Source organism: Homo sapiens, chromosome 3 (genome assembly GCF_000001405.40).
Source record: "Homo sapiens chromosome 3, GRCh38.p14 Primary Assembly".
In the NCBI taxonomy this organism is placed as follows: Eukaryota; Metazoa; Chordata; class Mammalia; order Primates; family Hominidae; genus Homo; species Homo sapiens.
Genome location: NC_000003.12, coordinates 142,182,911 through 142,204,197, shown reverse-complemented (window position 1 = coordinate 142,204,197; position 21,287 = coordinate 142,182,911). Strand labels below are relative to the sequence as shown.

The following is a 21,287-nucleotide window of genomic DNA, read 5'->3' as shown; positions in this document are numbered from 1 at the left end:
AATAATGCAAAATTAGCTGAACATGGTGGTGTGGACCCCTAGTCCCTGCTACTTGGTAGGCTGAGGTGAGAGGATTGTTTGAGCCCAGGAGTTCAAGGCTGCAGTGATTGCCACTGCACTCCAGGGCACTCTGTCTGGGTGACACGGTGAGATCCTGTCTCAAAGCCAACAATACCAAATTATGCCTGATACATAGTAGGCATCAGTAAATGACAATGATGATGGTGACAGTGACAATAGCAACATCATGAAGTCAGCTGTTCTTCTGTTATTTGTCTCAAATTGCCCTCACTCCTGAGTGTGAGATTCCCGAGTCAAAGGGTAAAACAGTTTTCCAGCTCCTCGAGTGGTGTCAGACCTACAGTATTTTATGTCATAATCAATATTCCATATTAATTATTTTATTTTATTATTGTTATTTTTTGAGATGGAGTCTTGCTCTATCGCCCAAGCTGGAGTGCAGTGGCGCGATCTCAGCTCACTGCAACCTCTGCCTCCTGGGTTCACGTGATTCTCCTGCCTCAGCCTCCCAAGTAGCTGGGACTACAAGCATATGCCACCACGCCCAGCTAATTTTTTCTATTTTTAACAGAGACGGGGTTTCACCGTGTTAGTCAGGATGGTCTCGATCTCCTGACCTGATGATCCGCCTGCCTTGGCCTCCCAAAGTGCGGGGATTACAGGCGTCAGTCATCGCGCCTGGCCCATATTAATTATTTTAATACTTATAATGCCTCACAGTTAAATGCCTTCTCTGCTAGTGTACTGGTATCAGATGGCGCCCAGGGGACTGTCTACAGCATCAGTTTTACTTGATAAGTATTTGATGATATTAATTTAATATGGAAACAAATGTGAATATATTATGGAATATAACAGCAATGCATGAGTGAAACAATTTTGCCATAATCTCACCTGAATTGATTTTCCTTTTTGATAGTTTAATATAGAAAAATGTACCTTGCTGCAATAACTTGTGAGAGGTGCTGTTAATAAGAAGGACACAGTAATTGAGGGAGTAAAAGTGGTTATAAGGAAATGTCATGAACCCTCAATTGTATAATTTTAAATTATGTAATTTATAATCTATAATTTTATACCTTAATATATAATTTTAGTTTTTAATAGTTCATCAAACATTCTTTAATTTGGTCATTGAGGTGTTTAACACTTTTATTGCTTTGAAAAAAATTGTGATTTGAAAAGAAAAATTGTGATTTGAAAACATTTACTTCTGTAATATGTCTCATATTTCAAATCTTTTTTGTTTGTTTGTTTTGAGATGGAGTCTCCCTTTGTCACAACCTCCACCTCCCGAGTTCAAGCAATTCTCCTTCCTCAGCCTCCTGGGTAGCTGGGATTACAGGCACATGCCGCCATGCCTGGCTAATTTTTGTGTTTTTAGTAGAGACAGGGTTTCATCATGTTGGTCAGGTTGGTCTTGAACTCCTAGCCTCACGTGATCCGCCCACCTCAGCCTCCCAAAATGCTGGTATTACAGGTATGAACCACCATGCCTAAGCCTCAAATTTCCAATCATAATGCAGAACTGTGACCTCAAGCACAAAATTGAGCATTTAAAGCACTTTTGTCTACTTGATATTGAACATGCACATGATCAAAGTTTTGGTTCTCTTAGCAAAAAAATTTATACAAACACAGGCTTTCACAGTTTAGCACACATAATTCTAGGGCCTGTCCTGGCAGTGAAGGAGCCCCACTTTGCAATCATCCCTTTCCAGTTGCTAATGGTTTGATTGTGGCCTTTGGAAATGTTTAGAGTGTTTTTGCCAGAACTGGCACCAATGTCATTAGTTTGGCCAAGGCTAGTCTGAAGCAAAATGGTGAAGTAATTGAGGTGTGTTTGCAATCTCTTGCCACTGTTGCTTTCCTCCAGTCTCCCCAGATGCCCGGTCTTCCGCTTACTTTTTTGTTCTTATTCTTGCCTGATGATGGCTAAGGCTTTCTTCTCTTTGCTTTTAGCATAAAATCCCAACTCCTTACCAAGGTTTGGCTCTTTCTACACTTCTGACCACCTCCTAGACCTCTTTCTCCCTGAGGTTGCTAAAGATTAGCAACTGCATCTTTTTCAGCCTGTTTTTGTTCTTGTAGCACTCAAGCCCTTTCTTACCTTAAGGCCATTGTACATGCACGGGGTCTCTCTGCCATCGTGGCTGGATCCTTCTCATCTTTTTAGGGTCGAGCTCATGTAGCACATCTGGGAACCCTTCCCTGCCACCCTACTTAAAGGAACCCCCTTGCCCTCAATCTCTTATGTTGCCCTTTGTTTCCTTCATTGTACTTACTAAATTTCAAAGATTCTTAGATACACATTTTTTAAACTGAAAATTAAATGGAAATAATTATAGATTCACATGCAGTTGTAAGAAACAGTACAGAGATCCCTTAGACTCTTTGCACTTTCTCCCCATGGTAAAATTTTGAAAAACTATAGTATAACATCACAACCAGGACATTGACATTAATACAATCCATAAATTTTATTAGGATTTCCCCAGTTTTACTTTATATTTGTCTGTGTTTGTGTGTGTGTATGTGTATGTATATAAGTTCTATACAATTTTTTCCTATCTGTAGGTTCATGCATCCAGGAGCATATGCAAGATACTGAACAGTTCCGTCACTACAAAGATCTCTTGTGTTGTTCTTCTGTAACTATATCTACCACTCTCCTATACACCTCCCTACCCTCTCTCATTCCTAGCTCCTGGCAACCACTAATCTGTCCTCCATTTAAAAAATGTTCTAATTTGAAAAATGTTATATACATAGGATTATACTTTTAAATATATAACCTTTTGGGATTTGCTTTTTTCACTTAGTATAATTCCCTGGAGATTCATTCAAGTTGTTGCCTGTATCAGTAGTTTATTCCTTTCTGTTGCTGAGTTGTATTCAATAGTACAGCTGTATCACAGTTTATTTAACCATTCACTTGTTGAAGGACATCTGTGCTGATTCCAGTTTTTGGCTATTACAAATAAAGCTTTTATGAACGTTCTTTGTATAGAATTTTCTGTGAATGTAATTTTTCATTTCTCTGGGATAAAAACCTCAAGGTCATATGGTAATTGCATGTTTTCTTTTGTAAGGATCTGCCAAACTGTTTTCAAGAGTGACTATACCATTTACTTTCCCATCAGCAATGTATAAGTTATATTTTAACATCTCTGAAATCAGGATGCATTTCTTAGTAGCATGTTAAATAATGATTCATTTTACAGTCTGTCTTCTTAAATCATCTTATTTATTGACTTGATTGCTTATTTGTCTTCTCACTAAAATGTAAATGTTAAAAAGACAAGGATTCTGCCCATATTGTTCAATTTGTTTTTACAAGGCCTAGCAACAGTCCTTGGTATGCTATAAGTTACTCAGTAAATACTCATTAGATATATGAATGAAGATGCTAATTGTTTATATGTTGTCTAAAAGTGCAGTTATTAGAGCTTGTAATATTTTTGTATGACCTCACCACCCATCCTGAGTTATCTACATTTTAACAGAAGATCTCAGAAGTGTCCTAAATCTAATTTTTTATGAGAATAGTGTAGGGTGTATAAAGAGGAATTGCCCATTTTAGTTTAAATTATTTCTTATAACAAATCAGAAGAAGGCTTATGGGTGGTCACTTTAAATACTTTTAAAAAGTCTTATGTTTTAATAAATAATGTGAAAAATCTATATGCCATGTAAAATATAAAGAAATGACAGGGTGCAGTGGTTCACGCCTGTAATCCCAGCACTTTGGGAGGCCAAGGTGGGCGGATCACCTGAAGTCAGGAGTTCGAGACCAGCCTGGCCAACATGGTGAAACCCCATCTCTACTAAAAGTACAAAAATTACCCAGGCGTGGTGATCCACACCTGTAATCCCAGCTACTTGGAGGCTAAGGGAGGAGAATTGCTTGAACCTGGGAGGCAGAGGTTGCATTGCGCTGAGATTGCGCCATTGCACTCCAGCACTCTAAGCAAAAAAATGTAAGCCTGGGGAACAGAGTGAGACTCTGTCTCAAAAAAAACCAAAAACCATATGTATGTGTGTGTGTATGTGTTTGTGTGTGTGTGTGTGTGTGTGTATATATATATAGAAATAAAGAAGGTGTGAGCACTGAATAAGATGAGAAGGAAGTTAAAAGGACTAGACTGAAAGAACTGAGTCTACAAATTTTATTAATTGATGTGTTATCAATTAAAAATGAAAGAAAAAAATTTATATTACTATTTTTCACAAATAAACCAACATCTTTAAATTTATTTTAGGGAGTGAGGTAGGATTAACAAAAGTGGGTAAGTTCAACAAGAAGTGGGCAATACTTCTTAAGTGTTTTGTAAAACATCAGTTTTACAAGTTGAAGTGTCCATCTACATCCCTGTAGTGTGTGGCAGGATAGGGTTTTTTTTTTTTTCCTAGTATGTCTTAAAGACCTTAAAACTCAAAGCTTGTTTTCTGTATACCTAAGGCTTTTTGTAAATTAAAGATTTTGCTTATGTCTTATCTTTGATCATTAGATAAGTATAGGTAGTATTAAATAAAATCATACAACCAGATTTTAAGTACTTAATGTATAGGGAAATTTCTGTCTGTGTTAGTGCAAACTTAATTTCTAATAGGAAAGAAAAAAGCTAATAAGAGCTCATCCTTCGTTGTCTAGTATTAAGAGTTCTCAGGTCTTTGATTCATAGAGGCAGATTGAAGCTAAGATATAAGATTATGATTAATGTGAAAATATTTGGACTATGAGCCTTCAAAATCAAAGATTAGCTGATAACTTTATATAGATGTTATTACTATTGGAATAGTAGTGAATTAATGCTATTCTACTAAATAGTATAGATTTATCTGGGAGGCCTGCAATAAACTTAAAGTGTACATATCCCACTGAAATAAGAATACTACAAATATAGCCTCCTTCCTAGATTCTCTCCTTTAACTATCATAGTTAAAAATAGGTAGAGAGGTAAAAATATAGTTGTTTTTTTTTAAAAAAGTTTATAATAAGTACCTGAGCATCTGGTATTTGCTAAAATAATTCAAAGTAGATATGTTGCATTTCATATGTTAGAATACAAACTGCCCATTTAGGATAATATTGCTGTTTTTTATTTTCTTAATTGCAGAAAACACTATTATAAGTAGTTAAATGACTTGTTATTGGGTTTGTTTGCATGTATATAGAATTGATGTGGAAATTTTAAACACTACTAAATGCATTTTCCTAAAATATGTTTTTTAAAATATAGATATTTCACAGTTCTTGCCGAGTGCTTCACTTTTTCACTAGAAGTAAACGACTTTTTACAGCCAGTTTGTTCACTTTCACAACCCAGCAGACTTCTTTGAGATTGGTCTGGATTTTACAGAACTTGACTGAGGTAAGAAAATACTGTGTGTATGTGGAAAATATGTGTGTATGTGGAAACCATATAAAGACTATGGGGAAGAAAAAATTAAAGGAATAAAGATAGTAATTTGATTATTTGAGGGAAAATTAAGTGTCTACCACATATTGGAATGGAAGACAAAGTGGCATCTTATTTTGTTTGTTTTGCTTTTCTTTTTGAGACAGAGTTTTGCTCTTGTTGCTCAGGCTGATGTGCAATGGCGTGATCTCGGCTCACTGCAATCTCCAGCTCCCAGGTTCAAGTGATTCTCCTGCCACAGCCTCCCAAGTAGCTGGGACTACAGGCGCGTGCCACCACGCCCGGCTAATTTTTTGTATTTTTAGTAGAGATGAGGTTTCACCATGTTGGCCAGGCTGGTCACACACTCCTGACCTCAGGTGATCCATCTGCCTCAGCCTCCCAAAGTGCTGGGATTACAAGCGTGAGCCGCCACTCCCCGCCATATCTTTGATTTATATCAGTGGAATTCTTTTGTGTCAGACTCCTTTTGCTCAATATTATGTTTTTGACATATAGCAATGTTGTGTGTAAATTACTTTGCTTATATTTTCATTGCTATTTGCTGTTCAATGTATGATTTTACCATAGTTTATTGTCTATTCTATTCATGTACATTTGGGTTATTTCCTGTTTTTAGCTGTTATGAATAATGCATCTCTTGGTGTACATGTAATTGCTATGTCTATACATAGGAATGGAATTTTTAGGGCATGAATGTGTATATATATCTTCACCTTTTTTTTTTTTTTTGAGACAGAGTCTCACCCTGTCACCCAGGCTGGAGTGCAATGTGCGATCTCAGCTCACTGTAAACTCTGCCTCCCAGGTTCAAGCGATTCTCCTGCCTCAGCCTCCTGAGTAGCTGGGATTACAGGCGCATGCCACCATGCCCAGCTAGTTTTTGTATTTTTAGTAGAGATGGGGTTTCACCATGTTGTCCAGGCTGGTCTTGAACTCCTGACCTCGTGATCTGCCTGCCTCAGCCTCCCAAAGTGCTGGGATTACAAGCATGAATCACCATGCCCAGCCATGTATCTTTACCTTTAAAGGATAATGTCAAAACACTTTTGCAAAGTGATAATAACAATTTACACAGTATCAGTATGTGATCAGAGGACTTTTTATTTCATTTACTGTCATAATTGACATTATTAGTCTATATTTTAGCCATCCTAGTTGGTAAGTAATATCTGAGTGTGATTTTAGACTGGATAAAAAAACAAGATCTAACTATATGTTGTCTATAAGGGACACACTTAAGATTTAAAAAATATAAAGAGGTTAAAAGTAAGTGAGTGGAAAAGATATATCATGTAAACAGTCACTGTAAGAAGCTGGAGTGGTTATATTAACATCAGGTAGTATAGACTTTAAAACAAAAACATGTTACTAGAGATAAAAAGGGAATTTTATAATGATAAGATGGTGAATTCATCATAAATATATAACAGTTATAAACACCTAATAACAGAGGTCCACAATACATGAAGCAAAAATGGACAGAATTGAAGGGAAAAATAGAAAGTTGAGCAGTGATAGTTGGAGACTTCAGTACCCCACTTTCTTTTTTTTTTCTCTTTTTTTTGAGACGGAGTCTCACTCTGTCACCCAGGCTGGAGTGCAGTGGCGTGCTCTCGGCTCACTGCGAGCTCCAGCTCCCAGATTCACATCATTCTCCTGCCTCAGCCTCCCGAGTAGCTGGGACTACAGGCACCCGCCCCCGCACCTGGCTAATTTTTTGTATGTTTAGTAGAGATGGGGTTTCACTGTATTGGCCAGGATGGTCTTGATCTCCTGACCTCGTGATCCACCTGCCTCGGCCTCCCAAAGTGCTGGGATTACAGGCGAGAGCCACCGCGCTTGACCCTCACTTTCAATAATGGATAGAATAACTAGACAGAAGATTAACAAGGAAGTAGAAAATTTGATTAACAGTAACAACTAACTAGACCTAACAGACATTTATAGAAAACTCTACCCAAGAACAGAATATACACTCTCTTGAAGTGTACATGGAATTTTCTCCAGGATAGATCATAGGCTAGGCCATACTACAAGCCTCAATAAATTTAAAGGGGTTGAAATTATACGAAGTCTGTTGTCTGACCATAAAGGCTTCGAATTAAAAGTAACAGAAAAAACTTGGGAAATTCAAAAATATATGAAGATTAAACAACACACTTAAAAATAACCAAAGGGTCCAAGGAGAAATCATAAGAGAAATTAAGAAATACTTTGAGATGAATGAAAATAAGATACAACATACCAAAACTTATTAGATGCAGATAAAGTACTTAGAAGGAAATTTATAGCAAAATGATATTACATGTAGAAGAGTATATTTAAAAAGAAGCAAAATATCACGTCAATAGTCTACCATTCTACCTTACGACATGGAAAAAGATGAGCAAACTAAATTCAAAACAAGCAGAAGGAAAGAAATAATGGAATTAGAACAAAATTAATATAATAGAGAATAGAAAAACAGTGAAGAAAATCAATAAAACCGAAAGTTGCTTCTTTGAAAAGATTAGCTAAACTGACAAAGACGAGAGAAAACCCAAATAACTAAAATTATGAATTATTATGAAATTATGGATATTAATACTGACCTCACAGAAATAAAAAGGATTAATAGGCAATACCATGAACAAGTGCATGCCAACAAATTAGATAACAAGATAAAATGAAAAATTTCCTAGAAATACACAAACTACTGGAAATAACTCGAGGAGAAATAAATAATCTGAATAAATCTATAACAAGTAAAGAGATTGAAGTAATAAATAATAAATTCTCACCTAGAAAAGCCCAGAGCCAGATGGCTTTACTAGTGAATTCTACCAAAAGTTTAAAGAAGAATTAACACAATCCTTTCACAAATTCTTCCAAAAAATAGAAGGGGAAAATAGACAATTGAATAGTAATAGTTGGAGACTTTAATACCCCACTATACTTCCATTATTGGAGTGGATTATACTTCCATTATTGGAGTGAGAGATACTTCCCAGCTCTTTCTTTTAGGCCAGTATTCCCTGATAACCAGATCAAAGACATCAAGAGAAAAGAAACTGATAGACCAATATTCCTTATGAATACAAATGCAAAAATCCTCAACAAGGCTGGGTGTGGTGGCTCATGCCTGTAATCCCAGCACTTTGGGAGTCTAAGGCAAGAGTATTGCTTGAGCCCAGGAGTTCAAGACCAGCCTGGGCAATATAGCAAGACACCATCTCTCCAAAAAAATTAAAAATTAAAAAATTAGCTGGGTATAGTAGTACACACCTGTAGTCCCAGCTACTTGGGAGACTGGGGTGGGAGGATTGCTTGAGCCCAGGAGTTTGAGACAGCAATGATCCAGGATCACACCACCACTGCACTCCAGCCTGGATGACAGAGCAAGACCCTGTCTCTGGAAAGAAACCACACACACACACAAAACTTCAACAAAATATTAGCAAGTCAAATCCAGCAACATATAAAAAGGATTATATATCATGACTAAGTGGGATTTATCCCAAGAATACAGGATTGGTTTACCATTCAAAAAATCAATTAATATGGATCTTTTATAAAAACTGGTAAATGTAAAAAAATAGAAAATTAATATACACCATATTAATAGAATAAAGGACAAAAAAACACATGATCATGTCAGTAGATATAGAAAAAAGCATTTGACAATATCTAGCCCCTCTTCATGATAAAATGCTCAACGTACTAGGAATAGAAGGAAACTCCTTCAACCTGATCTTTGAAAAACCCACAGCCGACACCATACTTAATAGTTGAAAACTGAATGTTTTTCTCCTAAGTTCGGGAACAAGACAAAGATTTCCACTCTCACCACTTGTAATTAACATTGTATGGGAGGTTCTAAGCCAGGGCAGTTGAGCATGACAATGTAATAAAAGGCAACTAGATTGGAAAGGAAGGAGTAAAACTATCTCTATGATGCAGATGACATGATCTTGTATATTGAAAATCCTAAGGAATTTCCTAAAAAAATTAGCACTAATATTATAAATGAGTTTAGTAAGGTGGGAGAGTATAAGATCAATATACAAAAAAAAAAATTTTCTTTTTTGACACAGAGTCTGTCACCCAGGCTTGAGTACAGTGGCATGATCGCAGCTCACTGTAGTCTCAACCTCCAGGCTCAAGAGATCCTCTTACTTCAGCCGCCAGAGTAGCTGGGACTACAGGCGCACACCACCATGCCCAGTTAATTTTTTTTTTTTTTTTCGAGATGGAGTCTTACTCTGTCATCCAGTAGGGAGTGCAGTGGCATGATCTTGGTTTACTGTAACCTCTGCGTCCCAGGCTCAAGTGATTCTCCTGCCTCAGCCTCCCAAGTAGTTGGGACTACAGGCGTGCGCCACAACGCCCAGCTAACTTTTGTATTTTTAGTAGAGACGGGGTTTCGCCATGTTGGCCAGGCTGGTCTCGAACTCCTGACATTAAGTGATCTGCCCGCCTCGACCTTCCAAAGTGCTGGGATTACAGGTGTGAGTCACCGTGCCTGGCCCCAGTTAATTTTTAAATTTTTTGTAGAAACAAGGTCTCACTATTTTGTCCTAGCTGCTCTTGAACTCCTGGGCTCAAGTAATCTTCCCACCCCAGCCTTCCAAAGTGCTGGGATTACAGGTGTGACCCGCCGCACACAGCTAAAAATCGTGTTTCTATATACTAGCAATGAACACTAGAAAGTGAAATTAAGAAAACAATTTTGGCTGGACGCAGTGGCTCATGCCTGTAATCCCAGCACTTTGGGAGGCCGAGGGGGGTGGATCACCTGAGATCAGGATTTCGAGACCAGCCTGGCCAACATGGTGAAACCCCGTCTCTACTAAAAATACAAAAATTAGCCAGACATAGTGGTGGACTCCTGTAATCCCAGCTATGTGGGAGGCTGAGGCAGGAGAATCACTTGAACTGGGGAGGCAGAGGTTGCAGTGAGCTGAGATCACACCATTGCACTCCAGCCTGGGCAACAGAGCGAGATGCTGTCTACCCACACACAAAAAAGAAAGAAAACAGTTTCATTTACAAAAACATCAAAAAGAATAAAATACGTATGAATAAGCTTAACTACAAAATATATACTTTGAAAAGTACAAAACATTGTTGAATACAGTTAATGAAGGCCTAAATAAATGGAAAGACATCTTATATACATGGATTGGAATATTTAATACTGTTAAGATTATAGTATTCTTCGAATTTATCTACAGGTACAACACAATTTCTACCAAAATTTCTGCTTTTTTTTTTGTTTTTTTTTTTTTGTAGCAGACAAGCTGATCCTAAAATTCACATAGAAATTTGAGGAACCCAGATTAGCAAAAGAATCTTGAAAAAGGAACAGTATGGGAAAACTCACACTTCTCAATTTCATTGTGGCTTTAATTTGCATTACTCTATTTCCTAACAAAATTGATATCTTTTCACATACTTACCATTTGTATATCCTTTTGTGAAGTACCTCAGTCCTTTGTTTTCTAAAAAATTAATACACTTTAATTTTAGAGTAGTTTTAGGTTTACAGAAACATTCAGCAGTAAATATAGTTTCCATATGCCCTTACTCCCCAACAGTTTCTGCTGTTATTAGCATCTTGTATTACGGTGGTACATCTGTTACAATTAATGAACCAATATGGAAACATTATTATTAATGTAATGTATCTACCATTGCAGTACTATTATACACTGTAGTTTCACTGTCCTGAAAAATCCCCTGTCCTTCACCTACTCACATCTCTTTCTGAACCCTGGGTAACACTGATATTTTTATTGTCTCTAGCTTTGTATTTTCCAGAATATCATATAGTTGGAATCATATAGTATATAGACTTTACAGACTGGCTTCTTTCACTTAGCAATATGCATTTAAGGTTTCTCCATGTATTTTTGTGCCTTGTTAGCTCATTTCTTTTTATCACCTAATAATATTCCATTGTCTGAATGTGGCACAGTTTATCCAATCACATTTTTTTTTTTTTTTTTGAGACAGAGTCTCACTCTGTCGCCCAGGCTGGAGTGCAGTGGCATGATCTCAGCTCACTGCAACCTCTACCTCCCAGGTCCAAGCAATTCTCCTGCTTCAGCCTCCCAAGTAGCTGAGATTACAGGTGCCTGCCACCATGCCCAGTTAATTTTTGTATTTTTAGTAGAGACGGGATTTCATCATGTTGGCCAGGCTGCTCTCGACCTCCCGACCTTAAGTGATCCACCTGCCTTGGCCTCCCAAACTGCTGGAATTACAAGCATGAGCCACCGTGCCTGGCCTATCCAGTTACCTATTGAAAAACATCTTGGTTACTTCCAGTTTTTGGCAATTATGAATAAAACTGCTATACACTTTTGGGTGCAGGTTTTTATTTGGACATAAATCTTCAACTCATTTGAGTAAATAGGTGTATGATTGTTGGATCATATGGTAAGACTGCATTTAGTTTTGTAAGGAACTATCAAGCTATCCTCCAAAGTAGCTGTGTCATTTTGTATTCCCACCAACAGTTGGAGAGTTCCTCTTGCTCCGTATCCTTGCCAACATTTGCTGTTGTCAGTGCTTTGGATTTTAGCTATTTTAATAGGTGTGTAGTAGTATCTTATTGTTTCAATAGGTGTGTAGTAATATTCATTGTTTGCAGTTCCCTAATGCCTTGTGATACAGAGCATATTTTCATGTGCTTATTTACCATCAGTATATCTTGGGTGAGGTGTCTGTTCAGATCTTTTGCCATTAAAAAAATTTTTGTTTGTTTGTTTTGAGACAGATTCTTGCTCTGTCACCCAGGCTGGGGTGCAGTGGCATGATCGTGGCTCATTATAGCCTCAAAACTCATGGGCTCAAGTGAGCTTCCTGCCCCAGCCTCCTGAGTAACTGGGACTACAGGCGTGTGCCACCATGCCCGGCTAATGTTTTCACTATTTATTTATTTATTTAGAGACAGAGTCTCACTCTGTCACCCAGGTTGAGTGCATTGGCATCATCTCGGCTCACTGCAACCTCTACTTCCTGGGTTCAAGTGATTCTCCTGCCTCAGCCTTCCAAGTAGCTGGGATTATAGGAGGCTAATTTTTGTATTTTTAGTAGAGATGGGGTTTCACCATATTGGCCAGACTGGTCTTGAACTTCTAACTTCAAGTGATCCACCTGCCTCGGCCTCCCAAAGTACTGGGATTACAGGCAAGAGACACAGCGCCCAGCCAAATTTTTTCACTTTTAATAGAGATAGAGTGTCGCTGTTTCCCAGGCTGTCCTCAAACTCTTGAGCTCAAGTGATCCTGCCACCTTGGCCTCCCAAAGTGCTGGGCTACAGGTGTGAGCTATCGCACCTAGCCCCACTTAAAGTTTTTTTTTAATGTGTAGACTTATTGTTAGGCAATTGATATCTTTTGTAGCTATTTTAACTAGTCCTTTAAATTATTATACTTCTTGCCGGGCGCAGTGGCTCATGCCTGTAATCCCAGCACTTTGGGAGGCCGAGGTGGGCGGATCACGAGGTCAGGAGTTCAAGACCAGTCTGGCCAATATGGTGAAACCCTGTCTCTACTAAAAATACAAAAATTACCACGCACCTGTAGTCCCAGCTACTTGGGAGGCTGAGGCAGAAGAATCTTTTGAACCGGGGAGGTGGAGGTTGCAGAGAGCTGAGACTGCACCACTGTACTCCAGCCTGGGTGACATGGCCAGACTCTGTCTCAAAAAAAAAAAATTATTTATACTTCTTTTTGGCTGGTCTTTAGAAATATAGTTACTTTTTGTGAATTGACCTTTAATCCAGTAATGTTACTGAATTCACTTAGTTATTCTAGTAACTTATCTAATAGCTTTTTTTGCAAAGGATGTTTCTGTGTATACAGTTATGTCTTTTGCAAATGACTAGATTTTTTTTCTGCTGGTTTAACACTTTTTTTCTTTTTCATTGGCAAGGACCTCCAGGATATGTTGATTAGAAGGAGGGATCATTAATTCTTTTTCTTGTTTCTGATCTTGGACCAAAGGCTTTCAACATTTCTTTACTTAGTATGAATTTGGCTTTGGGGTGCTATCCTTTGTACTTTATCAAATTAAGGAAGTTCCCTTTCTTTGCTAAGTTTGCTGACACTTTTTATTATGAATGGTTATTGAATTTATCAAACATATTTTCTGTGCTTATTATCTAGGTTTAGTGTGTTTTATGCAAGCTACTTGGGGTTTGTAGGGCTTTTTGAATTTGTTGCTTGAGGTCTTCGTTGATTTTGAAAAATGCTCAGGTGTTATCTCTTCAAATGTAATTTCTGCTCCATTCTCCTTATCTTTTTTTCTGAAAGCCCAAATATGGGCCATTGCCCTAGGACCTCAATTCTCTATGGATCTAAGGAGAGTTGTTGATTTTCAGTTTGCTCAACTTTTTTTTTGTGAGGATGTAAGTAATGACTTCCAAGCTCTTTACCTATCAGACGGGAAATTGGAGTCCCCTCTTGTACATTTTTAAGTTTAGACCTTCTCACTGAATCCCCTGTATATCTAACCCTATCTTACATATTTTCCATCCTTTTGTCTCTCTGTGCTTCATTCTACCCAGTCTATTCCAACCTGTCTTCCAATCTATTATTCACTCTTCAATTGTTTCTAATGTGCTATTAAAACCCATCAAGTTCTTAATATTTTAGTTCTATAATTTTTATTTTTTCCCATATAATTAGCATGTTTATTTTAAAGTCCACGACTGTGAATTCCATCATCTGTAGCTCCCATGGACTGTGGACTGTCTTTTTTTCCTGTTTTTGTTTTTCTTCCATGTTATTGTTTCTTCATATGCCTGGTTACTTATTTGTATATATGTGTATATATGTGACCTTGATATTATATTTGTAAAATTCTGTGTAGAATTTGAGAGCCTTAACATAATGCTGTCTTGCTCTAGATAAGATTTATGTTTGTTTCTTCCATTCTTCCAGTTAACAGGATTATCTCAATCCAACTTAATAATTGAGATGATTCAAATCTGACTTGTAGTTCCTATGAGAGCCGGTCCTAGTTTACTCCTACTCTTAGGGTAGAGCCATTTGCAGTCCTTAGCCAACGTGAGGGGGGTTGACCTAGGTCCTCCTACCTTAGGAAGCCCTGATGTCTACTCTGTGTCACCCTAGCCTCCTAAGGGCCTAGCACCTATCAGAGGCCCTGACTCATAAATATTTTTTTAATAGATGGATGAATTTACCACCTGTCAGGCATTGTGCTACTCACTGAAATACAGGTTAACTTTTGGCTATTAAAAAAAGTTGTATCTGGAACAAATTTTAGAATAAAAATTTCTAAATTTAACAAGAGTTTGAAATATAAGAATACTTGAAGGCGCTCCATATTTAAGTGGCATAACTCTTGAATGGAATCTTAAAGTACTTGTATTATAAATAACCTACAAATGACCTCGTTTTTGGAACTCATGTCATTTGTTTTCATTTTACTGATCCTTTCTACTATTAAAGTATAATTTATCTTTAAATGTTTCCATTTGCTTTTCTTTTTATTTCAGTTATTTACTTACTTAAGTATTTTTTGGAACATCTGCTATTTGCTGGGAACCTCCCTAGGTGTTGGGGATATGAATATAAATGCAATCTTGTCCCTGCCCTTAAAGAGCTAAGGGTCTAGTAGAGAGGCAGTAATGGTGTGAGATAATGGCTAAATGGAAGCTATCTATAGAATGCTACAGACTGAGTTAGAAGGAGTGTGGGAGTGGGGCAGGCTTGGACAAAGCCAGGAAATGCTGGTCTTGAAGGACAAATAAGAGTTATAGAGGTGATAAACTTTGTTTCAAGAAATTGTTTTTCAGTATGTTAATAACACCCTAACAGGCATTTCAGTTTCTCTGCTAGCTATTATAGTTTACAGAGGTGTTGACAACTTCTGTTTCTCTTGGCATGCTTTATGCCAAGAATCGGCCTGTTAATAATATTTTAGGCTTTGGGGGTATAAGCTTTTTGTCACAACCACTCTGCCATGAAAGCAGCCGTAGGCAACAAATGAGCATAGCTGTGTTCCAATAAGACTTTACTTATGGACACTGAAATTTGAGTTTCATATAATTTTCATGTGTCACAAAATATTCTCCTTTTGTCTTTTTAACCATTAAAAATTATGAAAACCATTTTTAATTTGCTGTACAAAAACAGAGAGTAGGCTGGATTTGGCCTGTGGGCCATAGTATGCCATCCCAGCTTTGGGCTTTTTTTTGTTTTGTTTTGTTTTTGAGACGGAGTCTCGCTCTGCCACCCAGGCTGGAGTGCAGTCTCGGCTCACTGCAAGCTCCACCTCCCAGCTTCACGCCATTCTCCTGCCTCAGCCTCCCAAGTAGCGGGACTACAGGTGCCCGCCACCATGCCCAGCTAATTTTTTTTTGTATATTTTAGTAGAGACAGGGTTTCACCATGTTAGCCAGAATGGTCTCAATCTCCTGACCTCATGATCCGCCCGCCTCGGCCTCCCAAAGTGCTGGGATTACAGGTGTGAGCCACCGTGCCTGGCCATTTTTTGCATTTTTAGTAGAGATGGGGTTTCACCATGTTGGCTAGGCTGGTCTTGAACTCCTGACCTTAGGTGATCCACCTGCTTCGGCCTCCCAAAGTACTGGGATTACAGGCGTGAGCCAACGCACCCAGCCGACTAGTGTATGTTTAAACTAAAAATGTATATACTTTGTTTTTTTTAAAAAAAAAACAACAAAAAACACAAAAGTAACTAACGCATGCTTGGTATACAACTAAAACCTTTCAGAAATATTATACAGAAAATGAAAATCTTCCCTCTCTCCCCTGGCTAGATCTCATGCCCTATATAATAATCACTTAGAACCATTTGGAATATATTCTAGAAATGTTTTTGTGTACATATTAATTTTTATAAAAATGGGTTTATATTGTATCACTGATCTGCATTTAATCATGCACTTAGTAATTTAGCCTTTTTGAATCGATTTTGTGCTGTTGTGTTTTCAAGGTGCAAAAGGCAGTTGAAGAAGAAAATTGCTGCTTTGGGACTATTGATACCTGGTTGTTATATAAGCTCACAAAAGGTAAAGATGACCTGAAAGATCTATTTTAAATAACCGAAATTTGATCAAGAGAAATGATTTGCCTAAAAAAAGTAGAAGTTACTTTTTTTTTTTTTTTTTGAGCTAGGGTCTCGCTCTGTCAACCAGGCGGGAGTGCAATGGTGTAATCATGGCTCACTGCAGCCTCAGCTTCCTGGGCTCAAGCGATCCTCCCGCTTCAGCCCCCTGAGTGGCTGGGACTATTGGTATGTGCCACCATGTCTGGCTAATTTTTTGTATTTTTAGTAGAGACAGGGTTTTGCCATGTTGCCCACGCTGGTCTTGAACTCCTGGACTCAAGCAATCCATCTGCCTCAGCCTCCCAAAGTGCTGGGATTACAGGCGTAAGCCACTGCACCTGGTCAGAAGTTTTTTTTTTTTTCCCCCTTCCTGTACTCCAGACATACTGCTCTTTGGTACCCTATTAACAACATGTTCTAGTAAAGCTAGACTTATTCTAGATTTATTATAAGAGGAGGACAATTTTTAAATAAATTGTGATGAAACTTCAATATAAGACTGGGGAACAGTCTTAATTTCAAGAATGATAAGACAAGTTCAGTAACAAATCTGCCATTTTGCTAGTGGGTATAACTATGGGTGACATTAACATCTTTGAGCCTCTTTGTCATCTTTAAACTGGGGGATCGTAAAGTGACAACATGTATGTAAGTACTTTTGCACAACTATAAAAGTTCATAAATATTAAGTGGGAAATTGCTTTTGGAGACTTCACATTGAAAATACACATTTTGGGCCAGGTGCGGTGGTTTACGTCTGTAATCCCAGTACTTTGGGAGGCTGAGGCGGGCGGATCACTTGAGGTTGGGAGTTCGAGACCAGCCTGACCAACATGGAGAAACCCCGTCTCTACTAAAAAATATCAAATTAGCTGGGTGTGGTGGCACATGCCTCTAATCCCAGCTACTCGGGAGGCTGAGGCAGGAGAATCACTTGAACCCGGGAGGCAGAGGTTGCGGTGAGCCAAGATCGTGCCATTGCACTCTAGCCTGGGCAACGAGTGAAACTCCGTCTCAAAAAAAAAAAAAAAAAAAGAAAATACACATTTTGGAATGAATTTGAGGGTAGACAAAGGTCTATATTATATACTATCGATAGGTGTTGATTTATACTATCTGATAATAAATGTATTATTTCCTATTTAAATTTAGGTTCTGTATATGCCACAGATTTTTCAAATGCTAGTACAACTGGACTTTTTGACCCATATAAGGTAAAAATTTTTTTTTCTTCTTTTTGAATCACACATTTTTGTGTAATATAGATAGATTTAAATTTTTAAAATTAGTTTATTTTTAATTGACAAATATATCATGTACAACATGATGTTTTGATATATGTTTAGAGGTTTGATATATGTAAATATGTATATTCTGATGATACGTTTTTATGCTCAGATGTGTTGGAGTGGGATGATTACCTCTCTAATTTCGATACCACTTTCTCTCCTACCTCCTGTGAGGGACACAAGGTAATAATAAACATCAGACATAGTAACCAGCACAATGGTTCTTGAATTCATTTTGTTTCGTGGGGAAAAGCATTTTATTACATGTTTGAAGGACTTGTATGTTCATTATGTAACTTTTTGGCTTATGCAAAAAAACAATTTGCTGAGTTTTAAAACTAATATTTCTAGAGCTGTAACTAACTTTTTAATGAATTTTATTTGAAGCCACAATTTTGGATCAGTGGATGAAGAGATATTTGGTGTGCCTATACCAATAGTTGCCTTGGTAAGTAGGAAACTTGAGGGATTCCCTTTGTATAGTATAAACTAAAGTAATATGTATTAATAATTGAGACTAGCTTTAAGAGAAACAGAAGGTCTTTGGCAGAGTAAGATTAAAGTATTTTTTTTTCTTTTTAAGTTAAAGGTCCCTGGATATGACCAGAATATCTGCTATATTTTTGGGAAGGGGACCATTGAGCCAGTATTCTATCATGGAAGTACTTTATAACCTTTTCTGACTTGCTTGTATATTGTTTATCAGAAAACTTAAATTAAAAAAAATTTTTTTTAATTCTGAGTGGTATTTAGTTTACATTTGGTACTCTGAGACAAAACACAGTGATGGGGCGAATATTTATGTTCTGTTTGATAATGTGTAACCACAAACAGTGTTAGGGCAACTTAAACTAGCAGAGAAAGTTGTATGTACATTTAATAAAGTCCTTAGCCATCATCTACCAGTAAATAAGTTTGTAGAATAATGAAATATTTGCCATTTTTGATTTTTTTTTTTTTTTTTGAGACAGGGTCTCACTCTGTCACTCAGGCTGGAGTGCAGTGGTATAATCATGCCTCACTGCAGCCTCGGCTTCCTGGGCTCAGGTGATTCTTCCACCCCAGCCTCCCAAGTAGCCAAGACCACAGGTGTGTGCCACGACACCTGGCTAATTTTTTGTATTTTTGGTAGACATAGGATTTTGCTGTGTTCCCCTGGCTGATCTCGAACTCCTAGACTGGGGCCTTCTGCCACCTTTGCCTCCCAAAGTGCTGGGACTACAGGCATGAGTCACTGTGCCAAGCCTGTTTTTGATTTTTAAGAGTCCTTTCACATTGCCTTTGATTTCCTGTGGCAGCTTAAGCAGGAGGTAGAGACCACCTGTTGCAAGATGTGCAGTCTCCACAGTAGCTGGGGGAGCAGCTGAGGGAAAGGGAATTTAATTTCCAAGTTACAAAATCATTATCATTTAGAGAGGATCGGTCTTATTCAATCTAGGCATAGGTGCAGGGTTAGATTAAGGTATGGCTGGAAGAGTTACCAATTAGTGACAGAGGGTTCTTTAAATGAGTTGTTGTTGTTGTTGTTGTTTTTGAGATGGAGTTTCACTCTTGTCTCCCAGACTGGAGTGCAATGGCATGATCTCACCGATGGCTCACTGTGACCTCCGCCTCTCGGGTTCAAGTGACTCTTCTGCCTCAGCCTCCTGAGTAGCTAGGACTATAGGTGTGCACCACCATGCTTGACTAATTTTTGTATTTTTCCTAGAGATGGGGTTTCACGATGTTGGCCAGGCTGGTCTTGAACTTCTGACCTCAGGTCTCCCAAAGTGCTGGAATTATAGGCATGAGCCAGCAGGCCCAGCCTTTAGATGAGTTTTGATCCTTAAAATGTTGCTGTTTGTATATCTACATTTGACTATATTAACAAAATGTTACAATTTTTATTTTAACAAAAATGTATGGTTGGGAAATAGATGGTTTTTACTTACATCTATTTATATCAAAACATTTACCTATGTTTTATATTGTTTAATAAAATAAATAAATTTGTGAGGGTTGGTTATTTTGACTAATGAATGAAACAAATGTTAGTTGAAAATGAAAAAAATCTTAGTTTTTTTTTGGTTATCATTTTTATTCTTATTTTCTTTTTTTTTTTTTTTTTTTTTTTTTTGAGACAGAGTCTCACTCTGTCGCCCAGGCTAGAGTGCAGTGGTGCGATCTCGGCTCACTGCAAGCTCCGCCTTCCAGGCTCATGCCATTCTCCTGCCTCAGCCTCCCGAGTAGCTGGGACTACAGGCACCTGCCACCACGCCTGGCTAATTTTTTGTATTTTTTTTAGTAGAGATGGGGTTTCACCGTGTTAGCCAGGATGGTCTTGATCTCCTGACCTCGTGATTTGCCCACCTCGGCCTCCCAAAGTGTTGGGATTACAGGCGTGAGTCACCGCGCCTGGCCTCTTACCTTCATTTCTAAGATTATTCATAGATAATTAAAAGTCGTGAAGTAGGTTACCCATTAAAAATTCCTAAGGCAGGCCGGGCATGGTGGTTCATGCTTGTAATCCCAACATTCTGGGAGACCAATGTGAGAGGATCGCTTTAGGCCAGGAGTTTGAGACTAGCCTGGGTAATAGAGTGAAACCCCATCTCTACAAAAAAATTTTTAAAGAAATGGCCAGGTGCAGTGGCTCACACCTGCAATCCCAGCACTTTGGGAGGCCGGGGCAGGTGGATCAAGAGATCGAGACCACCTGGCTAACATGGTGAAACTCCATGTCTACTAAAAATACAAAAATTAGCTTGGCGTGGTGGCGCGCATCTGTAGTCCCAGTTACTTGGGAGGCTGAGGCAGGAGAATGGCATGAACCCAGGAGGTGGAGGTTGCAGTGAGCCCAGATCACGCCACTGCACTCCAGCCTGGCGACAGAGTAAGACTCCGTCTCAATGAAAAAGAATTAGCTGGATGTGGTGGTGTGCGCCTGTAGTCCTAGCTGCCTTGTAGTCCTAGCTACTTGGGAGGCTGAGGTGGGAGGATCACTTGAGTCCAGAAGTTTGAGGCTGCAGTGAGCTGTGATCTTACTGCACTCTAGCCTGGGTGACAGAGCAAGACCCTGTCTCTAAAAAACAAAACAAAACAACAACAAACCAAAATAAAAACAATTCCTGAGGCATGTCAGTTATCTGCAGAGTATTAGTCCTAGGGAGACTCCTATCCTATGGTTGTTGCTCCCTATTCTCTTTGGGATTTTTTTTTTTAATTTTAAGGAAAAGGAAAAAGAAACGAAGATGTTTAATCATGAGAGTACAATAAGTGAGACAATGCTCTATAATAAAATTGGCCACTGTTAAGGGCAATGGGTTTACATTTGAACATTTTTGGTAGGTTGCTGACCAGCAATCAGCCATGTTTGGAGAGTGCTGCTTCCAGACAGGTGATGTGAAATTAACCATGGGAACTGGGACATTTTTGGATATTAACACTGGAAATAGCCTTCAACAGACTACTGGAGGTAAGTAGTTAG

The 21,287-nt window shown here is 38.3% G+C and overlaps 1 protein-coding gene across 5 annotated transcripts in view; it reads left to right on the top strand.

The window, feature by feature from the left end:
- GK5 (glycerol kinase 5) overlaps positions 1 to 21,287 on the top strand; it is a 68,059-nt gene that overhangs the window by 21,388 nt on the left and 25,384 nt on the right. For 3 of the 5 annotated variants that reach the window (NM_001039547.3, XM_024453436.2, XM_047447897.1), the window contains 6 exons: positions 5,265 to 5,396; positions 16,419 to 16,494; positions 17,685 to 17,746; positions 17,931 to 18,004; positions 18,209 to 18,269; positions 21,149 to 21,275. In NM_001039547.3, the coding sequence (NP_001034636.1) occupies positions 5,265 to 5,396; positions 16,419 to 16,494; positions 17,685 to 17,746; positions 17,931 to 18,004; positions 18,209 to 18,269; positions 21,149 to 21,275 (532 nt within the window). Of the gene's footprint in view, positions 1 to 5,264; positions 5,397 to 16,418; positions 16,495 to 17,684; positions 17,747 to 17,930; positions 18,005 to 18,208; positions 18,270 to 18,404; positions 19,488 to 21,148; positions 21,276 to 21,287 lie in introns of those variants that run through there. The other 2 variants (NR_033289.2, XM_047447898.1) reach the window with 2 other exon arrangements.